Raw genomic sequence first — 20,663 nt, 5'->3', positions numbered from 1 at the left:
ACTTATGTCTACAAAAAACCTGTACAAGTGGTCCATTGTAATATCTTTATTTGTAAAAGCCAAAAGCTGGAAACAAAAAAATTTTCTTCAATAGGGTTAAACTGGTGCATCCAGAAATGAAACTCAGCAATAGAAAGGAACAAACTCTTCATATGCACGACTTGGATGGATCGCAAAGGCATATGCTAAGTGAAAAAAAAAAAAAGCCAGTCTCAAAAGGTTACAGACTGTATTATTCCATTTATATAGAATTCTCAAAATGACAAAATTATAGAGGTGGAAAACAGATTTGCCAAGAATTAGGGAAAGGCGGTAGAGAGGAGTGAGTGTGACTATAAAGAGGGAACACATGGGACATCTTTGAGGTGATAGAACAGTTCAATGTTTCAGCTGCTGCACTGGTTACATTAATCTGCAGATATGACAAAATAACACAGAACTAAGCAGGCACAATGTACCGATACCAATTTTCTGGTCAGCAGTAAACTTGAAAAAAATGCCTCCTTTAGTTCTATGACTATTTGAAAATAAGAGGTTTTTGGCCAGGTGTGGTGGCTCACGCCTCTAATCCCTGCACTTTGGGAGGCCGAGGTGGGTGTATCACCCAAGGTCAGGAGTTCGAGACCAGCCTGACCTATATGATGAAACCTGTCTCTACTAAAAATACAAAAAATTAGCTGGGCGTGGTGGCAGGCGCCTGTAATCCCAGCTACTCAGGAGGCTGGGGCAGGAGAATCGCTTGAACCCGGGTGGCAGAGGTTGCAGTGAGCCAAGATCATGCCACTGCACTCCAGCATGTACAAGAGCAAAAGCTCCGTCTCAAAAAAAAAAAAAAAAAAAAAAGAAAGAAAGAAAAAGAAAAGAAAGGATTTTTTTTTTGGTTGTTTGTTTTTTGAGGCAGAGTTTTGCTCTGTTGCCCAGGCTGGAATGCAGTGGTGCGATCTCGGCTCACTGGAGCCTCCACCTCCCAGGCTCAAGCGATTCTCCTGCCTCAGCTTCCCAAGTATCTGGGACTATAGGCGCCTGCCATCACGCCCAGCTAATTTTTGAATTTTTAGTAGAGACAGGGTTTCACCATGTTGGCCCGGCTGGTCTCGAACTCCTGACCTCAGGTAATCCACCCACCTTGGCCTCCCAAAGTGCTGGGATTACAGGCGTGAGCCACTACATGCGGCCAATAAAAAGGTTTTAAAATTTATTAATGAAAATATAAATTTCCAGGGTGTGGAGATATTATCACCTTTATATTTAGAATGTTCTTTTTCTTTTTCTTTTGTTTTTTGAGACAGGGTCTCCCTCTGACGCCCAGGCTGGAGTGCAGTGGCACGATCTTGACTCACTGCAACTTCCATCTCCCGGACTCAAGTGATCCTCCCACCTCAGCCTCCTGAGTAGCTGGGACTACAGGCAAGCCACCATGCCCAGCTAATCTTTGTATTTTTTGTGGAGATGGGATTTCACTATATTGGCCAGGCTGGTCTCAAACTCCTAGACTCAAGCTATCCACCTGCCTCGGCCTCTAAAAGTGCTAGGGCAGGCATGAGCCAAGACATCTGGCCTAGAATGTTATTTTTCATACTATATTCATGAATAGTGACTTAGGAGAGCACAGTGGAGACAACTATCTGGTCCATATGTATTAAGTTAAATACCACATTAATCCTGCTGAAAAATAACATTGGAAAGTTGACGTAATAAGCAATCACTTTGTGATAACTAACTTCTTTTTTTTTTTTTTTTTTAAATTTGAGATGGAGTTTCGCTCTTGTTGCTCAGGCTGGAGTGCAGTGGTGCAATCTCGGCTCACTGCAACCTCTGCCTCCTGGGTTCAAGCAATTCTCCTGCCTCAGCCTCCCAAGTAGCTGGGATTACAGGCGTGCACCACCACACCCAGCTAATTTTTTGTATTTTTGGTAGAGATGGGGCTTCATCATATCGGCCAGGCTGGTCTCGAACTCCTGACCTCAGGTGATCCACCCACCTCTGCCCCTCAAAGTGCAGGGATTACAGGCGTGAGCCACTGCACCCGGCCGTGATAGCTAACTTCTATGACACCTGTTATTAATTCTAGCCTTCAAGCCGGGCGTGGTGGCTCATGCCTGTAATCCCAGCACTTTGGGAGGCCAAGGCGGGCGGATCACGAGGTCAGGAGATTGAGACCATCCTGGCTAACACAGTGAAACCCTGTCTCTACTAAAAATACAAAAAATTAGCCGGGCGTCGTGGCGGGCGCCTGTAGTCCCAGCTACTCCGGAGACTGAAGCAAGAGAATGGCGTGAACCCGGGAGGCAGAGTTTGCAGCGAGCGGAGATCGCTCCACTGGACTCCAACCTGGGCGACAGAGCGAGACTCCGTCTCAAAATAAATAAATAAATAAATAAAACTCTAGGCTTCAAATCGCAAAATGCATGTTTGTAAAGCATTCAAGCAAATAATATGAAGGTAATTTTAAAAGTGTTATTTTTATATATTTTTTAATGATACTTTAAGTTCTAGGGTACATGTGCACAACGTGCAGGTTTGTTACATATGTATACATGCGCCCTGTTGGTTTGCCGCACCCATCAACTCGTCATTTACATTAGGTATTTCTCCGAATGCTATCCCTCCCCCAGCCCCCCACCCCCCGACAAGCCCCGGTGTGTGATGTTCCCTGCCCTGTGTCCAAGTGGTCTCATTGTTTAATTCCCACCTATGAGTGAGAACATGCAGTGTTTTGTTTTCTGTCCTTGTGATAGTTTGCTGAGAATGATGGTTTCCAGCTTCATCCATGTCCCTGCAAAGGACATGAACTCATCCTTTTCTATGGTTGCATAGTATTTCATTGTGTATATGTGCCACATTTTCTTAATCCAGTCTACCATTGATGGGCATTTGGGTTGGTTCCAAGTCTTTGCTATTGTGAATAATGCCGCAATAAACATACGTGTGCATGTGTCTTTATAGCAGCATGATTTATAATCCTTTGGGCATATACCCAGTAATGGGATCACTGGGTCAAATGGTATTTCTAGTTCTAGATCCTTGAGGAATCGCCACACTGTCTTCCACAATGGTTGAACTAATTTACACTCCCACCAACAGTGTAAAAGCGTTCCTATTTCTCCACATCCTCTCCAGCATCTGTTTCCTGACTTTTTAATGATCGCCATTCTAACTGGCGTAAAAGTGTTATCTCGGGTGGGTGCGGTGGCTTACACCTGTAATCCCAGCAATTTGGGAGGCTGAGGTGGGCGCATCATGAGGTCAGGAGATAGAGACCAACCTGGCTAACACGGTGAAACCTCATCTCTGCTAAAAAAATAGAAAAAATTAGCCGGGTGTGGTGGCGGGCCCCTGTAGTCCCAGCTACTCGGGAGGCTGAGGCAGGAGAATGGCGTGAACCCGGGAGGCGGAGCTTGCAGTGAGCCGAGATCGTGCCACTGTACTCCAGCCTGGGCAACAGAGTGAGACTCCACCTCAAAAAAAAAAAAAGTGTCATTTCATAATATAATATGACAATAATAAAATACTATTAGAAAATAGAACTGGAGCAGACCAGGTGCAGTGGCTCATGCCTGTAATCCTAGCACTTTGGGAGGGCGAGGCGGTTGGATCACTTAAGGTCAGGAGTTCGAAACCAGCCTGGCCAACATGGCAAAACTCTGTCTCTACTAAAAATACAAAAATTAGCTGGGCGTGGTGGTGGGCACCTATAATCCCAGCTACTAGGGAGGTTGAGGAGGGAGAATTGCTTGAACCCGGGGGGCGGATGTTGCTTTGAGCTGAGATTATGCCATTTGACTCCAGCCTCGGAGAAAGAACAAAACTCCATCTCAAAAAAAGAAAAAAGAAAGTAGAACTGGAGCAAAAAAGCAAGAATACCAACATCATGAAAGTAAGAGAAAGAAAGAAAGGAAGAAAGAAAGAAAGAAAGAAAGAAAAAGCAAGCAAGCAAGCCAAGCATGCAGGCATGGTGGCTCATGCCTGTCATTCTAGCACTTTGGGAGGCTGAGGTGCAAAGATCGCTTGAGACCAGGTGTTCAAGACCAACCTGGCCAACATAGTGAGATCTATCTCTTTTAAAATTTTTTTAAAAGCCTGGGCATGGTGGCTCATGCCTGTAATCCCAGCACTTTGGGAGGCTGAGGCAGGTGGACCACCTGAGGTCGGGAGTTCGACACCAGCCTGACCAACATGGAGAAACCCCATCTCTACTGAAAATACAAAATTAGCCAGGTATGGTGGCACATGCCTGTAGTCTCAGCTACTCGGGAGGCTGAAGCAGAAGAATCACTTGAACCCGGGAGGCTAAAGTTTTGGTAGTAGATCACAAGGGGTAATAGTGAGTGGTGCCATTCCCATTTCCACCCTTTGATACTTGGACCCAAAAATCCTGGCTATGGGAGAAATAGCACCCTATATTTGGACACTGATTCAGAGTATATACAGCCTCTTGGGGAACCTTGCCCCAGCTGGAAAGTATCGCCACTTAGATGACACTGTAACTGAGTCTGCAAAAGGCCATTCCACAGTTCTATCAAGCCACCTGCTTCAGGATGGTAGAGAACACCATAAGACCAGTGAATTCCATGATTAGGGACCCATCACCACTCTTCATCTGCTGTAAATTGAGTTCCTTGATCAGAAGCAATGCTTTGTGGAATACCATGGTGGTGGATAAGACACTACGTAAATGCACAGATGGTAGTTTTGGCAGAAGCATTTCTTGCAAGGAAGACCAATTTGTACCCAGAGTAAGTGTCTATTCCAGTAAGAACAAAGCAATGCTGCTTCCATGGTGAAAGGAATCCATTCAGGTAGTTGGCTGATCACCCTGGGGAATGGTGCCATATCAGGGACTCAGTGTTGGTCTCTGCTGCTGGCAGATTGGGCACTCAGTGGTGGCCTTAGCCAAGTCAGCCTTGGAGAGTGGAAGTTCATGTTGCTGAGCTCATGCCTAAACTCCATCCCTGCCACCATGACCACTAAGTTCATGAGCCCAATGGACAACAACAGCAGTAGCTTGAGAAAGAAGCAAACTGGTGTCCACAGAATGAGTAATCTTATCCACTTGATTATTAAAATACTCCTCTGCTGGGAGGTCACTCTTTAGTGAGCATTCACATGAGACACAAATATCTTCACATTTTTTGCCCATTCAGAGATCTATTCACATGCCTCTTCCCCAGACTTCCTTGTCACCAATTTTCCAATCATGTTCCTTCCAAGTCCCTTACCATCCAGCCAAACCACTGGCCACGGCCCAGGAATTGGTACATAATTATACATCTGGCCATTTCTCCTTCTAACAAAATGAACAACCTATTCCTTGTCCCAAGTTTTGCCTACTGGTAATTCTGCCCACTGGAAGTTCTTTACTGCTGTCCTTCAGGGCTGTCCTAGAAAGGGCTGCAGTACTGCAACTGTTCACTTCCAGGCGGTGTCTGCATATCATGGACCTGAGTCTTCCCTTCCTCTATCAACATAGATGCAGGCAGGGAAAGAGAAGGCGATGTAGTAGGAATGGCTATCATGGGCATTCAGGCGAATGCTTCATGTAAGTTACTTGGTGTTTTTGTTTGTTTGTTTTTTGGTTTTTGTTGTGGTTGCTTTTGTTTTTGTTTTTGAGACAGAGTCTTATTCTGTTGGCCAGGCCCAGGCTGGCATGCAGTGGCGAGATCTTGGCTTACTGCAGCCTCCGCCTCCCAGGTTCAAGTGATTCTCATGCCTCAGCCTCCTGAGTAGCTGGGATTACAGACATCCACCACCATGCCTGGCTAGGTTTTGTATTTTTAGTAGAGACGGGGTCTCACCATGTTGACCAGGATGGTCTTGAACTTCTGGCCTCAAGTGATCCGCCCACCTTGGCCTCCCAAAGTGCTGGGATTACACGTGTGAGCCACTGTGCCTGGCCAATGTAAGTTACTTGTGTTTCAGGGCCTAATCTAGTAAGCACCATTTCCATTTGATGATGGAATGCTGCTGTACACGCCCAACTTTATGGCTTGGTGGGTCAGAGAACACCTAATTCATAATGGATAGCTCAAGTCAAATGATAACTTGGTGGCCCGTGGTTAAGGATTCAGTCTCAAGAAAGGCCCAGTAGCAGCCCAGAAGGTCTTTCTCAGAAAGAGAGTAGTTATCTGCTGAGCATGGCAGAGCTTTCCTTCAAAATCCTATGAGCTTGCTCTGCGATTCACCTATAGGGGCCCGCCAAAGGCTCCAGATAACATCCCTGTCTTCCACTGACACTTCAGGCAGCATTGGATCTGCTAGATCACACAGCCCAGTGGCAGCTTTGACCTGTTACAGACCCGTCTCTTGCTCTAGGTGCCACTCAATACTAGCAACTTTTTTGTTCACTTGACTAATGGTCTGGAGTAGTACACCCAAATGCAAAAGATATTGCCTCCAAAATCCAAACAGATCCACTAGGTGTTATGCCTCTATTTTGGTTATAGTTGGGGGCAGGTGTAACACTTATCCTTCACCTTAGAAGAGATATCTCCACATACCCCACACAACTAGAAATTACACTGAGATAGAAGCCCCCTGAGTTTTTGTCATATTTATTTCCATTCTCTAATATGTAAGTGGCTTACCAGTAACTCTAAAGTAGTTTCAACTTCTTGCTCTCTAGTTCCAATCAACATGGTACCATCAATGTAATGGACCAATGTAATATCCTGTTGTAAGGGAAAGATGATCAAGATTCCTGTGATGGGCCAGGCTCAGTGGCTCATGCCTGTAATCCCAGCCCTTTGGGAGGTCAAGGTGGGTGGATCACTTAAGCCCAGGAGTTCAATACCAGCCTGGACAACTTAGTGAGACTCCATGTCTACAAGAAATACAAAAAAGTAGCTGGATGTGGTGGTGAACACCTGTAGTCCCAGCTACTCTTGAGGCTGAGGTGGGAGGATCACCTGAGCCCAGGATGTTGAGGCTGCAGTGAGCTGTGATTGGGCCACTGCACTCCAGCCTGGGTGACAGAGTGAGACCCTGTCTCAAAAAAACAAAAAACAAAAAAAACAAAAACAAAAGCAAAAAAAAAAAAAAAAAAAAAACCCAAAAAACAGATCCCTGTGAAAATTATAACATAGGACTGGAGGGTTGATGTATCTCTGATGTAGCACAGTGAGAGTGTATTACTGGCCTTGCCAGCTAGAAGCAAACTACTTCTGGTGGACCTTACGGACAGTGTGGAGAAGAAAGCATTTGCCAACTCAATAGCTGCATACCAGTTACCAGGAGATGTGTCAATTTGCTCAAGCAATGAAACCACATCTGGTACAACGTTGCAATTGGAGTCATCACCTGGTTAAGCTAATGACAACCCATGGTCATTCTCCAAGATCCTCTGTCTTCTGGCACAGGGGCCAAATAGATGAGTTGAATGGAGGTGTGGTGGGAATCACCACCCCTGCATCTTTCAAGGTCTCGACAGTGATATTAATCCCTGCAGTCACTCCAGGAATGTGTTTTTGCTTTTGCTTTATGATTTTTCTAGATTGAGACAGGTCTAGTGGCTTCTACTTGGCCTTTCCCACAGAATAGCCCTAACTCCGCAGGTCAGGGAACCAATGTGGGCCTTCTGCCAGTATGCTGAGTATGTCTATTGCAAATATGCATGCTGGAACTAGGGGAAGAACCATCAAATGGGTTTGGGTACAACCTATGCCCACTGTGAGATGATGGACTTCAGCTAAAACTCTATTGACCAAATGCCCACAATTTGACTGGCAGGCCACAGTGACCTTTTGGGTCTTCTGAGATTTGACAGTCAGTGTCCAGTAAACCCCAAAAGGCTGATTATTTCCTTTTCCCCAATACATAGTCACCCCGATAAAAAGCTAAAGGTCCCTTCGGGAAAGGCTAAAAGAAAGCGTAACAATTGTATAAATGTTTGACAGTGTACCAAGTTTCTTCCTCAAGGTGACCCAACCTTTCTTTCATTCCTAGGGTTCTAGGTTTGTAAATTGTGTCAAGACTGAGAACTGGGGCCGAAGATGGTGGCTCACACCTGTAATCCCAGCACTTTGGGAGGCTGAGGCCAGTGGATCACTTGAGGTCAGGAGTTCCAGACCAACCTGGCCAACATGGTGAAATCTCATCTCTACTAAAAATACAAAAAAATTAGCCAAGCATGGTGGTGCATGCCTATATTTTCAGCTACTTGGGAGGCTGAGGCACAAGAATTGCTTGAACCTGGGAGGTGGAGTTTGCAGTGAGCCGAGATCCCACCACTGCACTCCAGCCAAAATTAGCTGGACAACAGAGTGAGACTCTGTCTCAAAAAAAAAAAAAAAAAAAAAGACTGGGAACTGACTAAAGGGCTACGATTCTGTTTTTATGATTCAGGTTAGGCATGTGTTCATCTGACTTAGAGCTTTTCTGCGTCTACAGACCAAGTCAAAATTTGGTAACCATCCTATCTATGTCACTCCTAGAACACTGTGGTTAACTTGCCGACACCACAGGTCTCCCAGAGTTAGACTACTTGGATTGCCACTTTGACTCTGCTGTCCATTACAGTAACCACATCCACCTTGCACCTGCCACCCTGGGGTTCAACTATTCTCATTGTATTTAGGTTTCCCAATTTAGTGGCAGTAATTTCCCAGTATAATTTCTGGCCTAAAGAGAAGAGTGATCGCAGGGTTGGGGCTCCCCTCAGATATTTGTTTTCTCAGAGTCATGATGAAAGGTGTGTCCTAGGCTGGGCACGGTGGTTCACGCCCGGGAGGAGGAAGTTCCAGTGAGCCAAGATCACACCACTGCACTCAGCCTGGGTGACAGCGAGACTGTCTCAAAAAAAAAAAAAAGAGAGAGAGAGAAAGAAAGGTGTGTCCACAGGGCCCTCCCAGGATGGATGAGTAAGTCTTGAATGACAAATCCACTCTAACATTCCAATCTTTCTAAGCTTTTGAATCCTTTCCCTTCAGTAAACCGAGATAGGTCTGGCATTTCAAGTTCATTTACTGTGGGCCACTTTATAGTCCATGTGTCAGCCAACCAACCTAACTAACTGTTAGAACCCTTTCTAATTCCCAAAGCTGCAACACTAAATGCAGAATCTCTGCTTAATGGGTTCATAACAATAAATTTGGCCTAATACAACTTTTTTTTTTTTAAGACAGAGTTTCGCTCCATTGCCCAGGCTGGAGTGCAGTGGCGCAATCTCGGCTCACTGCAAGCTCCGCCTCCCGGGTTCACGCCATTCTCCTGCCTCAGCCTCCCGAGTAGCTGGGACTACAGGCACCCGCCACCACGCTCAGCTAATTTTTTGTATTTTTTTTTTTTTTTTACTAGAGATGGGGGTTTCACCATGTTGGCCAGGATGGTCTCGATCTCCTGACCTCGTGATCCGCCCGCCTCGGCCTTCCAAAGTGCTGGGATTACAGGCGTGAGCCACCATGCCCGGCCTTGGCCTAGTACAACTTTATGTTTTCTTCCACTCTTCTCTCAGGCCCTTCATATTCATTCCTACACATGTTCCCCAGATTTTTGTCTGTATAAATTAGAAACACGAGAAGTTATTTTGAAGTGTAGTGCACCTCCTCCTGGGTTGCACTTTAGAGGTCTGTGGAAACTGGAAACAGCAAGTTCTGAAAAAGGCAGAGAAATAGCTGAGCACGGTGGCTCATGCCTGTAATCCCAGCACTTTGGGAGGCCAAGGCAGGCGGATCACCTGAGGTCAGGAGTTCCAGACCAGCCTGGGAAAAGTGGTGAAACCTTGTCTCTACTAAAATTACAAAAATTAGCCAGGTGTGGTGTCACGTGCCTGTAATCCTGGCTACTCAGGAGGCTGAGGCGGGAGAATCGCTTGAAACTGGGAGGTGGAGGTTGCAGTGAGCCAAGACTGCTCCATTGCACTCCAGCCTGCACGACAAGAGTGAAACTCTTGTCTCAAAAAAAAAAAAAAAAACGAAAAAGGCAGAGAAAGAAGAAAAAATGAGGAGGGGTAGGCAACCAGACAACAGCCAGAAGGAAAGTTACTGGTTTTCTTTATTTGTAATACCTCCAATTAAACAAAATCATGAGAAAGTCATCACTGAATTCCAGTGGCAGGTCTTTTCCAACAATTGGAAAGATTTTTAAGTAATTAACATAGATTGAGCATCTCCTAATGCATATATTTTCATGCATATAAAACAAGGATAGAGTAAATTTTCAGACAGAAACATTAAGCAATTAAAATGTTAGGAAAAAAATTATATAAACATAAAATCCAGAAATGACAACATTGATCACTGAAGTTTTCCATATTAAAAACGAACGTTAAAATCCATCATCATTACCAGTAAACATTGACTGAGTCTTTACATCAGATACTGCTGTCTGGGATAATAGTAAAGTATACTTTATGAATTGAGACCCTGTGCCTTTATAGTTCTCACAATGTGTTCTAGAATCCTTGAGAATCCCCTTCCATTGGGGATCCTCAAGGTCAAAGCTTTCTGTAATAACAGTAAGACTTTATTTGCCTTTTCACTGACATTCTCTCTGGGTAGTCAGTGCCACAGTTACTCAGAGGCTACATGACATGTGGTATCACAAACTATTTAATGCAGAAATAGCCATGAAATGTAGCTTTCTTATATTGAGCCAGACCTAAAGAGACTTGCAAAAATGTAAATTAATGCCACTCTTCTCACTAATTGTTTTTGTTTGGGGAAATATAGCACTTAGTGAAATAATAAATCCAGGCAATAAACACTTAGTGAAATAATAAAAGGCAATGATCAGCAACTATTAGGTAATACTAAGCCATTAGATGGAAAGCAGACGGGGAACTTTACAATGGATGAAGCAGGCTGACTATACCTAAATGCAGTGATCAATCTTAATTTCACAGCCAGAGCAACAACTGAACATGATGTGCCTCTTGTACAAAATACCACCATCCAAGCAATCTTCATTTATTTTAGAGACAGGGTATCTTTATGTTGCCCAGGCTGGTCTCAAACTCCTGAGTTCCTAATGCTTCAGCCTCCCTAGTAAGAGGGACTCCACTGCACCTGGCTCACCGTGAAACCATCAAATAATGGTTTTTGTTTGTTTGTTTGTTTGAGACAGAATCTCACTTTGTCACCCAGGCTGGAGTGCAGTGGTCCAATCTCGGCTCACTGCAACCTCCGCTTCCTGGGTTCAAGAGATTCTCCTGCCTCAGCCTCTTGAGTAGCTGGGAATACAGGCATGCACCACCATACCTGGCTAATTTTTGTATTTTTTGCAGAGACAGGGTTTTGCCATGTTGCCCAGGCTACTCTCAAACTCCTGAGCTCAAGTGATCCACCTGCCTTGGCCTCACATAGTGCTGGGATTACTGGCGTGAGCCACCACGGCTGGCTGCAAAATTCTTAAGAGAAAGTATACTGCAAAATGTCCTGTTTTCTGTAACAAATCAAGTGTGAAGAAAGAGAGGGAGTTTACCCATGAAACAAGCAAATGCAATGTGTAAACTTCTCAGCCCTATTAGACCTAATGTTCTCTTTTCGTATAAAGTCTTAAAAATAGACTTTACCTTTTTTTCGTTCTCTTTTCGTATAAAGTCTTAAAAATAGACTTTACCTTTTTTTTTTTTTTTTTTTTTTTGAGACAGAGTCTCATTCCATTGCCCAGGCTGGAGTGCAGTGGCACAATCTCGGCTCACTGCAACCTCCGATTCCCGGGTTCAAGCAATTCTCCTGCCTCAGCCTCCCGAGTAACTGGGATTACAGGCACCTGCCACCACACCTGGCTAATTTTTTTGTATTTTTAGTAGAGACAGGGTTTCACCATGTTGGCCAGGCTGGTTTCAAACTCCTGACCTCAAGTGATCTGCCTATCTTGGCCTCCCAAAGTGCTAGGATTACAGGCCTAGCCTAGACTTTACTTTTTAGAGCAGTTTTTGGTTCACAGTAAATTTGAGTGGAAAGTACAGATAGTTCCCATATACTCCCTGCCCTGACACAGCCTTCTCTGGTATCAACATCACACATCAAAGCAGCACATTTGTTATAACTGATGAACCCATACTGCCATATCATCTCATACAAACATTTTGACATTTCTTTTATTGTCCGGATAAAAGATTCATAGAATATATGATTGATCCAGAATCATAGTTTTAAAAAACAGGCAATATAATTCCATGACTAGAATAAAAAGACAAAATTAAAATAAAGTAATTTATAAGTTTTTAAATGCAACTCAATATGTAAGTAATCAAGGAATACTACTTCGGGAGATAATAGATAGATGTTTCTACCTACTTAAAATGAATAAGTGGGTATTTAAAATTAGTAAGAAGAAGCCATTATGAACAAGAGGTAAAAGAAACAAAATTGCAGTCCAGGTGTGGTGGCTCATGCCTGTAATCCCAGCATTTTGGGATGCCAAGGCAGTCAGATTGTTTAAGGCCAGGAGTTTGAGACCAGCCTGGGCAACATAATGAGACCCCATCCCTTAAAAACATACATACAAAATTGCAGAGAAACAGATAAAAACTAGAGTTAGGGCTGTTCACAGTAGCTCAAGCCTGTAATCCCAAAACTAGGAGGGGAAGGTGGGAGGATTGCTTGAGCCTGCAAGTTCAAGACCAGCCTTGGCAACATAGTGAGACCCCATCTCTACAAAAAAATTTAAAAATTAGCTAGGTATGATGGTTCAGCCTTGGAAGGCTGAAGCAGAAGGCTCGCTTAAGCCCAGGAGGCCAAGGCTGCAGTGAGCTGTGATCATGCCACTGCACCACAGTCTGGGCAACACAGTTGAGTGGCATGATTTCTTAGACAGATCTTAATCCCTGTCTAAGAAAAAGAAAAAGAAAACAAAAAAAATATATATATATATATGTGTGATATATAGAAAACAAATAGCAAAATGGTAGACGTTAGTTCTTCATTATCAGTAATTATTTCAAATGTAAATAGTTTAAATTCTCCAATTAAAAGACAGCTAGCAAACGGCATATATATATACACACATACATATATATACACATATATATATACATATATATATACACACACATATATATACACATACATACAACATATATATATATATATATATATATATATATATATATATACTTTTTTTTGAGACAGAGTTTCACACTTGTTGCCCAGACTGGAGTGCAATGGTGCGATTTCTGTTCCCTGTAACCTCCACCTCCCAGGTTCAAGCGATTCTCCTGCCTCAGCCTCCCAAATAGCTGGTATTACAGGCATGTGCCACCACGCCCGGCTAATTTTTTGTATTTAGTAGAGACAGGGTTTCACCATGTTAGTCAGGCTGGTCTCCAACTCCTGACCTCAGGTGATCCGACTGCCTCAGCCTCCCAAAGTGCTGGGATTACAGGTGTCACCACCACGCCCGGCCCATTTATTTTATATTAAAAAATAGAGATGGGGTCTTGCCATGTTGCCCAGGCTGGTCTCAAACTCCTGGGAGGCAATCCTCCCACTGTGGCCTCCCAAAGTGCTGGGATTACAGGCATGAGCCGCCATGCCCAGCCCAAGTTTTATTCTTGTTCAGGTACATGAGGCCAATGGATCAAGAGGCAATTGCAATAAAAAAGATAGTTTGTTACTCACAGTCCCAAAAGGACAGAGCACACAATGCCACACCACACAGAGGCCACGCAGGGAAACAGCAAGGTAGGTCAGAAGGCAGAGGGAAGGAGGGGAAAACATGGGTGAGAACCTCCACTGTGGTTTCCAAGGGAAGGAACAGGCAAGGCAGGGTAAGCAGGTTTAGGGTTGGCTAGTGAGAATAATTTCAGCAGGCTCTCTGGGGCACAAGGGCTGTCTCTCCTGCTCCGGTATCTGGCCCTGGAGTGAGTTAAGACAGGGGAAGAGCAGTGAGAAGTGTGACAGCCTGATAATTAAGTTGGTTGGGGTGTGGGCTCTGGATTGGTTGGTTTCCACATACAAGGCACACTTCCAGGTGAGTTCTTCACTATCTCTAGGCGTTGCCTAACCTGGATGGTTGTGCCTGGATGGTTGTGCCTCCAGGATCAGGAAGGCTCCCAATGGCAAAGCATCAGAAATAGAAAAAAATAGGCCAGGCGCAGTGGCTCACGCCTGTAATCCCAATATTTTGGGAGGCCGAGTTGGGCAGATCACTTGAGGTCAGGAGTTCCAGACCAGCCTCAGCAACTTGGTGAAACCCCATCTCTACTAAAAATACAAAAATTAACTGGAGCGTGGTGGTGCATGACTGTAGTCTCAGCTACTTGGGAGGCTGAGACAGGAGAATCACCTGAACCTGGGAGGCGAAGGTTGCAGTGAGCCGAGATCGTGCCACTGCACTCCAGCCTGGGAGACAGAGTGAGTCTCAGTCTCACCAAAAAAAAAAAAAAAAAAAATTGAAAGCAAGAACTCAAATGGATATTTGTTCATAACAGCATTATTCACTATGGCCAAAAGTAGGACCCAACACAAGCGTCCACTGACAGATGAATGGATAAACAAATTGTGGTGGATATTATTCTGCTTAAAAAGGAATTAAATTCTGTACATGATACAACATGGGTGAGACTTGAAAACATTATGTTTAGTGAAATAAGCCAGTCACAAAAGGACAAATATTTTATGATATCACTTTGCATAATTTGAGCTAATTTATGTGGAAGAGTGTATATAAAGAGATATCCAGGAAAAGAGAGATATCCAGATGTTTGTTTGCCAAAATGTTGACAATGCTCATATATGATTAGTTGAATGACAGGTAATTTTTACAAATGTTGCTATACCTTTTGGTTTGCTCAATTTGTTAACAGAACAATATTATTATTATTAAAAAAAATTTTTTTTGAGATGGAGTTTCACTCTTGTTGCCCAGGCTGGAGTGCAATGGCGCCATCTCAGCTCACAGCAACCTCCGCCTCCTGCATTCAAGCAATTCTCCTGCCTCAGCCCCCCAAGTAGCTGGAATTACAGGTGCCTGCCACCACGCCCGGCTAACGTTTTGTATTTTTAGTAGAGACGGAGTTTCACCATGTTAGCCAGGCTGGTCGCGAACTCCGGACCTCATGTGATCCACCCGCCTCGGCCTCCCAAAGTGCTGGGATTACAGGCATGAGCCACCACGCCCGGCCAACAGTATTATTTTTTAAAAAACCAGTGACATAGGTTTGATATTCACTTGGCAGTAATATCATAAAGATGATTAAAAAAAAAATGTGTTGAACTACATAAATCCACCTCTGAGATAAATTCCATGATTCTATAAATTCCAATCTCTTATCCTCAGATATGAGTTTTAGGCCTCAATGTATGGATCAGCCTTTTTAATGGGAAGGCAAAGGGTTCAGGGATCTGTTAAACATATGTTCTTCTCTTGGGTCCTCTAGGTCTTCTCTAGGCTTCCAGAACCTAAGGAATGATTCTACCAGTAGGTAAGACTCACATACAAAGAGACAAAAAGTTCCTAGAGCCCAGAAAGTTCAACACCACCCCCAAAAAACCTCCCTAAACACTGTTCTTTTATTAATATTATTATTTAATTTTCTTAATTTTTTTTTTTGAGACAGGGTCTCACTCTCACCCAGGCTGAAGTGCAGTGGCATGATCATGGCTCACTGCAGCCTTGACTTTCTGGGCTCAAGTGATCCTCCCATCTCAGCCTCCCAAGTAGCTGGGAACCACAGGAGCAAGCCATCATGCCTGGCTAACATGGTTTCCCCATGTTGCCCGGCTAGTCTTGAACTCCTGAGCTCAAGTGATCCACACTGGCCTCAGCCTCCCAAAGTGCTAGGATTATAGGTATGAGCCATCACACTTCGGCCTCTTTTTTGTTTTTAATTGGGCTAAAATATACATAACATAAAATTTACCATTGGAAGTTTTTCATTGTTCTTAAATTTTCTTTTTTTTTTTTTTTTTTTTTGTATTTTTAGTGGAGATGGGGTTTCACCATGTTGGCCAGGCTGGTCTCGAACTCCTAACCTCGTGATCCGCCCGCCTCAGCCTCCCAAAGTTCTGAAATTACAGGCGTGAGCCACTGCGCCCAGCCAAATTTTTTTATTTTTATTTATTTATTTAGAGACAAGGTATCATTCTGTCACCTAGGCTGGAGTGCAGTGTTGCAATCATGGCTCACTGCAGCCTTGACCTCCTGGGCTCAATCCTCCCACCTCAGCCTCCTGAGCAGTTGGGAACACAGGTGCATGCCACCATGCCCAGCTAATTTATTTATTTGTTTATTATTATTGTTGAGACCGAGTTTCACTCTTGTTGCCCAGGCTAGAGTGCAATGACACCATCTCAGCTCACTGCAACCTCCACCTCCTGGGTTCAATCAATTATCCTGCCTCGGCCTCCCAAGTAGCTGGAATTACAGGCGTGCACCACCATGCCTGGCTAATTTTGTATTTTCAGTAGAGATGGGGTTTCACCATGTTGGTCAGGCTGGTCTCAAACTCCTGACCTCAAGTGATCCACCCACCTCAGCCTCCCAAAGTGTTGGGATTACAGGCGTGAGCCACCGTGCCTGGCTTGGACTAATTTATTTTTATTTTCTGTAGAGACGATGTCTCCCTATTGTTGTCCAGGCTGGTCTCAAACTCATGGATTCAAGGGATCCTCACACCTCAGCCTCCCAAAGTGCTGGGATTATGGGTGTCACCCATCGTATTTGGCTAATTTTTAATTGTGGCAAAAAAACACATAATATAAAACTTCATATTTTAACCATTTTAAGTGTATAATTCAGTAGTGTTAACTATATTCACATTGTTTGTTTGTTTGTTTTTTTGAGACAGAGTTTTCCTCTTGTTGCCCAGGCTGGAGTGCAATGGCACGATCTCGGCTCACTGCAAGCTCTGCCTCCCGGGTTCAAGCAATTCTCCTGCCTCAGCCTCCCGAGTAGCTGGGATTACAGGCATGGGTCACCACACCCAACTAATTTTGTATTTTTAGTAGAGATGGGGTTTCTCCATGTTGGTCAGGCTGGTCTCGAACTCCCGACTTCAGGTGATCCGCCCACCTTGGCCTCCCAAAGTGCTGGGATTACAGGCGTGAGCCACCGCGCCCAGCATATTCACATTGTTTTGTAACAGATCTCTAGAATGTTTTCATTTCAAAAAACGGAAGCTATGCCCATTAAACCAAAACTCCCCATTCCCCATTTTACTTAATCACTGGCAATCATCATTCTATTTTCTATCTCTATGAATTTCACTCCTATAGATACCTTGGATAGGTGGAGTCATGGAGTCATACAGTATTTGTCTTTTTGTGACTGGCTTCTTTCGCTTAGCATATTATTGTTAAGGTTCATTCAGGCCAGTGCCAGGACTCATGGCTGTAATCCCAATACCTTTGGGAGGCTGAGGCAGGAAGATCGCTTGAGGCAAGGCATTTGAGACCAGCCTGGGCAACACAACAAGACCCTCTATCTAAAAAATTTTAAAGTTAGCCAGGCATAATGGTGCATGCCTATAGTGCTAGCTACTTGAGAGGTAGGATGGGAGGATCACTTGAGCTAGGAGTTTGAGGTTGCAGTGAGCCATGATCACACCACTGCACTGCAGCCTGGGTAACAGAATGAGCACAGTGAGCAGATTGAGACCCCAGCTCCTTTTTTAAAAAAAGTTGGGCCAGGCGCGGTAGCTCATGCCTGTAATCCCAGCACTTTGGGAGGCCGAGGTGGGTGGATCACGAGGTCAGGAGTTCAAGACCAGCCTGGCCAAGATGGTGAAACCCCGTCTCTACTAAAAATACAAAAATTAGCCAGGCACCACGCCTGTAATCCCCGCTACTCGGGAGGCTGAGACAGAGAACTGCTTGAACCTGGGAGGCGGAGGTTGCAGTGAGCTGAGATGGCGCCACTGGGCGACAGAGCCAGACTCCATCTCAAAAAAAAAAAAGAAAAGTTAGTGGGGGAGAGGTCATCCATATACACACATCAGTGCTTCCTTCCTTTTCTGGCTAAATTAGATTCCAGCATGTATATACCACATTTTGCTTATCAATTCATCTATCAGTGGACGCTTGGGTTGCTTCTACCTTTTGACTATTGTGAAAAATCTGCTATGAACATGAATGCACTAATATCTCTTTGAGTTACTGCTTTCAATTCCTTTGGGTATATACCCAGAAGTGGGACTGCTGGGTCATATGGTGTTATGGGTTGAATGTTTGTGTCTACCCAAAGTTCATATGTTGAAGCTCTAGTCCCCAATGTAATGGTATTTGAAGTGGGAACTTTGGGAGGTGGAATCCTCTTGTGGCATTGATGCCCTTATAAGAGTGAGAGAAAGAAATTTCTCTCTCTCTCTCCCTGCCACCTGCTTTCTGTCTCTCTGTATGAATGCACCAAGGAAAGGCTACATGAAGACATTTTGAGAAGAGAATAGCTGTCTGCAAACCAAGACCAATTTATCTGTTTTGTTTTATTGCCTGTGCTTTTGATATCACATTCAAGAAATCCATGCCTCAGCCTCACGAGTAGCTGGGACTACAGGCGCCCGCCACCACGCCTGACAATTTTTTGTATTTTTAGTGGAGACGGGGTTTTACCGTGTTAGCCAGGATGATCTCAATCTCCTGACCTCGTGATCTGCCCGCCTCGGCCTCCCAAAGCGTATAGTCCTTTTAATGTGTTGTTGAATTCTGTTTTGTAGTACTTTGTTGGGATTTTATTATTATTATTATTATTTACCAAGCACAGTGACACTACATCAAGTTGAGGATTTTTGTATCAATATTCATCAGGCATATTGAGCTATAGTTTTCTTGCATTGCCTTTGTCTGATATCAGAGTAATGGTGGCCCCATAAAATCAATTCAGAAGTGCTCCCTCCTCTTTAATTCCTTGGAAGAGTTTATCAAGTATTGGTATTTGTTAATTCTTCGATAAATATAATGTTTGGTAGAATTTACCCGTGAACCCATCTAGTACTAGGCTTTTTGAAGTTTTAAATTACTGATTCAATCTCCTTCCTAGTAATAGGCCTGTTCAGATACGCTATTTTGTTATGATTCATTCTTGGTAGGTTAAGTGTTTCTAGTAATTTATCCATTTTATATCGGTTATCTATTTTGTTGTTGTACAACTGTTTTTGTTTTTGAGACAGTCTCACTGGCTCTGTCACTCAGGCTGGAGTGCAGTGGCACAATCTTGGCTCACTGCAACCTCCGCCTCCTGGGTTCAAGTGATTCTCATGCCTCAGCCTCCTGAGTAGCTGGGATTACACTCACACCACCACACCCGGCTAATTTTTGTATTTTTAGTAGAGATGGGGTTTCGCCATGTTGGCTGGTCTCGAACTCCTGGCCTCAAGCAATGTGCCCACCTCAGCCTCCCAAAGTGCTGGCATTACAGGTGTGAGCCATCTCACCTGGCCTGTACAATTGTTAATAATACTCTCTTATAATTATTTTTGGCTGTAATGTCCTCTCCTTTATTTCTAAGTTTAGTTATTTGAGTCTTCTTTTTTTTTCAGAGTCAATGTACTTAAAGATTAATCAATTTTGTTGATCTTTTCAAAGAACTCATTCTTGGTTTTATTGATTTCCTCTACTGTTTTCCTTTTTTTTTTTTTTTTTTTTTTGAGTCAGAGTCCTGGTCTGTCGCCCAGGCTGAAGTGCAGTGGCACAATCTTGGCTCACTGCAACCTCTCCCTCCCGGGTTCAAGTGATTCTCCTGCCTCAGCCTCCCGAGTAGCTGGGATTACAGGTGCCTGCCACCATGCCCCGATAATTTTTTGTATTTTTAGTAGAGACAGAGTTTCCCCATGTTGGCCAGGCTGGTCACAAACTCCTGACCTAGTGATCCACCCACCTCAGCCTCCCAAAGTGCTGGGATTATAGGCATGAGTCACCGAGCCCAGCCTTTCCTCTACTGCTTTTCTATTCTTTATTTTGTTTATCTCTATCCTAATCCTTATTATTTCCTTCCTTTTGCTAGCTTTGGTTTTAGTTGTTCTTTTTCTAGTTCCTTAATGTGTAAAGTTTAATTATTGGTTTGAGATCTTTCTTCTCTTTAACTGTAAAAAAGGAGCTTTTACAGCTGTAAATTTCTCTTTTAGCACTGCTTTTACTGAATTTCATAAGTTTTACAAAATTGTTTATCTATTTATCTATTTATTTATTTATTTATTTCAGAAGTGGGGTCTTGCACCAGGCGTGGTGGCTCACGCTTGTAATCCCCAGCACTTTGGGAGGCAGAGGCAGGCAGATCACAAGGTCAGAAGTTCGAGACCAGCCTGGCCAACATGATGAAACCCGTCTCTACTAAAAATACAAAAATTACCCCCGTGTGGTGGCACGCGCCTGTAATCCCAGCTCTTGGGGAGGCTGAGGCAAGAGAATTGCTTAAACCCGGGAGGCGGAGGCTGCAGTGAGCTGAGATCAAGCGAGGATTGTGCCTGGACTGCACTCCAGCCTGGGCGACAGAGTGAGACTCTGTCTAAAAAGGAAAAAAAAAAAAAAAAAAGAAGTGGGGTCTTGCTCTGTCACCTAGTCTAAAGAGCAGTGGCGTGATCATGGCTCACTATAGTCTCTAGCCTCAAATTCCTGGGATCAAGCAATCTGATGCCTCAGCATCCTGAATAGCTGGGACTACAGTTACACACCATTGCATCTGGCTAATTTTTTTTTATTTTTGTAGAGACAGGGTCTTGCCTTGTTGCCCAGACTGGTCTCAAACTCCTGGGCTCAAATAATCCTCCCATGCTGGCCTCCCAAAGTCCT

The 20,663-nt window shown here is 44.0% G+C and overlaps 1 protein-coding gene across 2 annotated transcripts in view; it reads right to left on the bottom strand.

The window, feature by feature from the left end:
- ZMYM2 (zinc finger MYM-type containing 2) overlaps positions 1–20,663 on the bottom strand; it is a 225,276-nt gene that overhangs the window by 169,777 nt on the left and 34,836 nt on the right. The window lies entirely within an intron of this gene.

Source organism: Homo sapiens, chromosome 13 (genome assembly GCF_000001405.40).
Source record: "Homo sapiens chromosome 13, GRCh38.p14 Primary Assembly".
Classification (NCBI taxonomy): Eukaryota; Metazoa; Chordata; class Mammalia; order Primates; family Hominidae; genus Homo; species Homo sapiens.
Note: the sequence above shows the minus strand (reverse complement) of the source record. Positions and strands in the feature narration are given on the sequence as shown.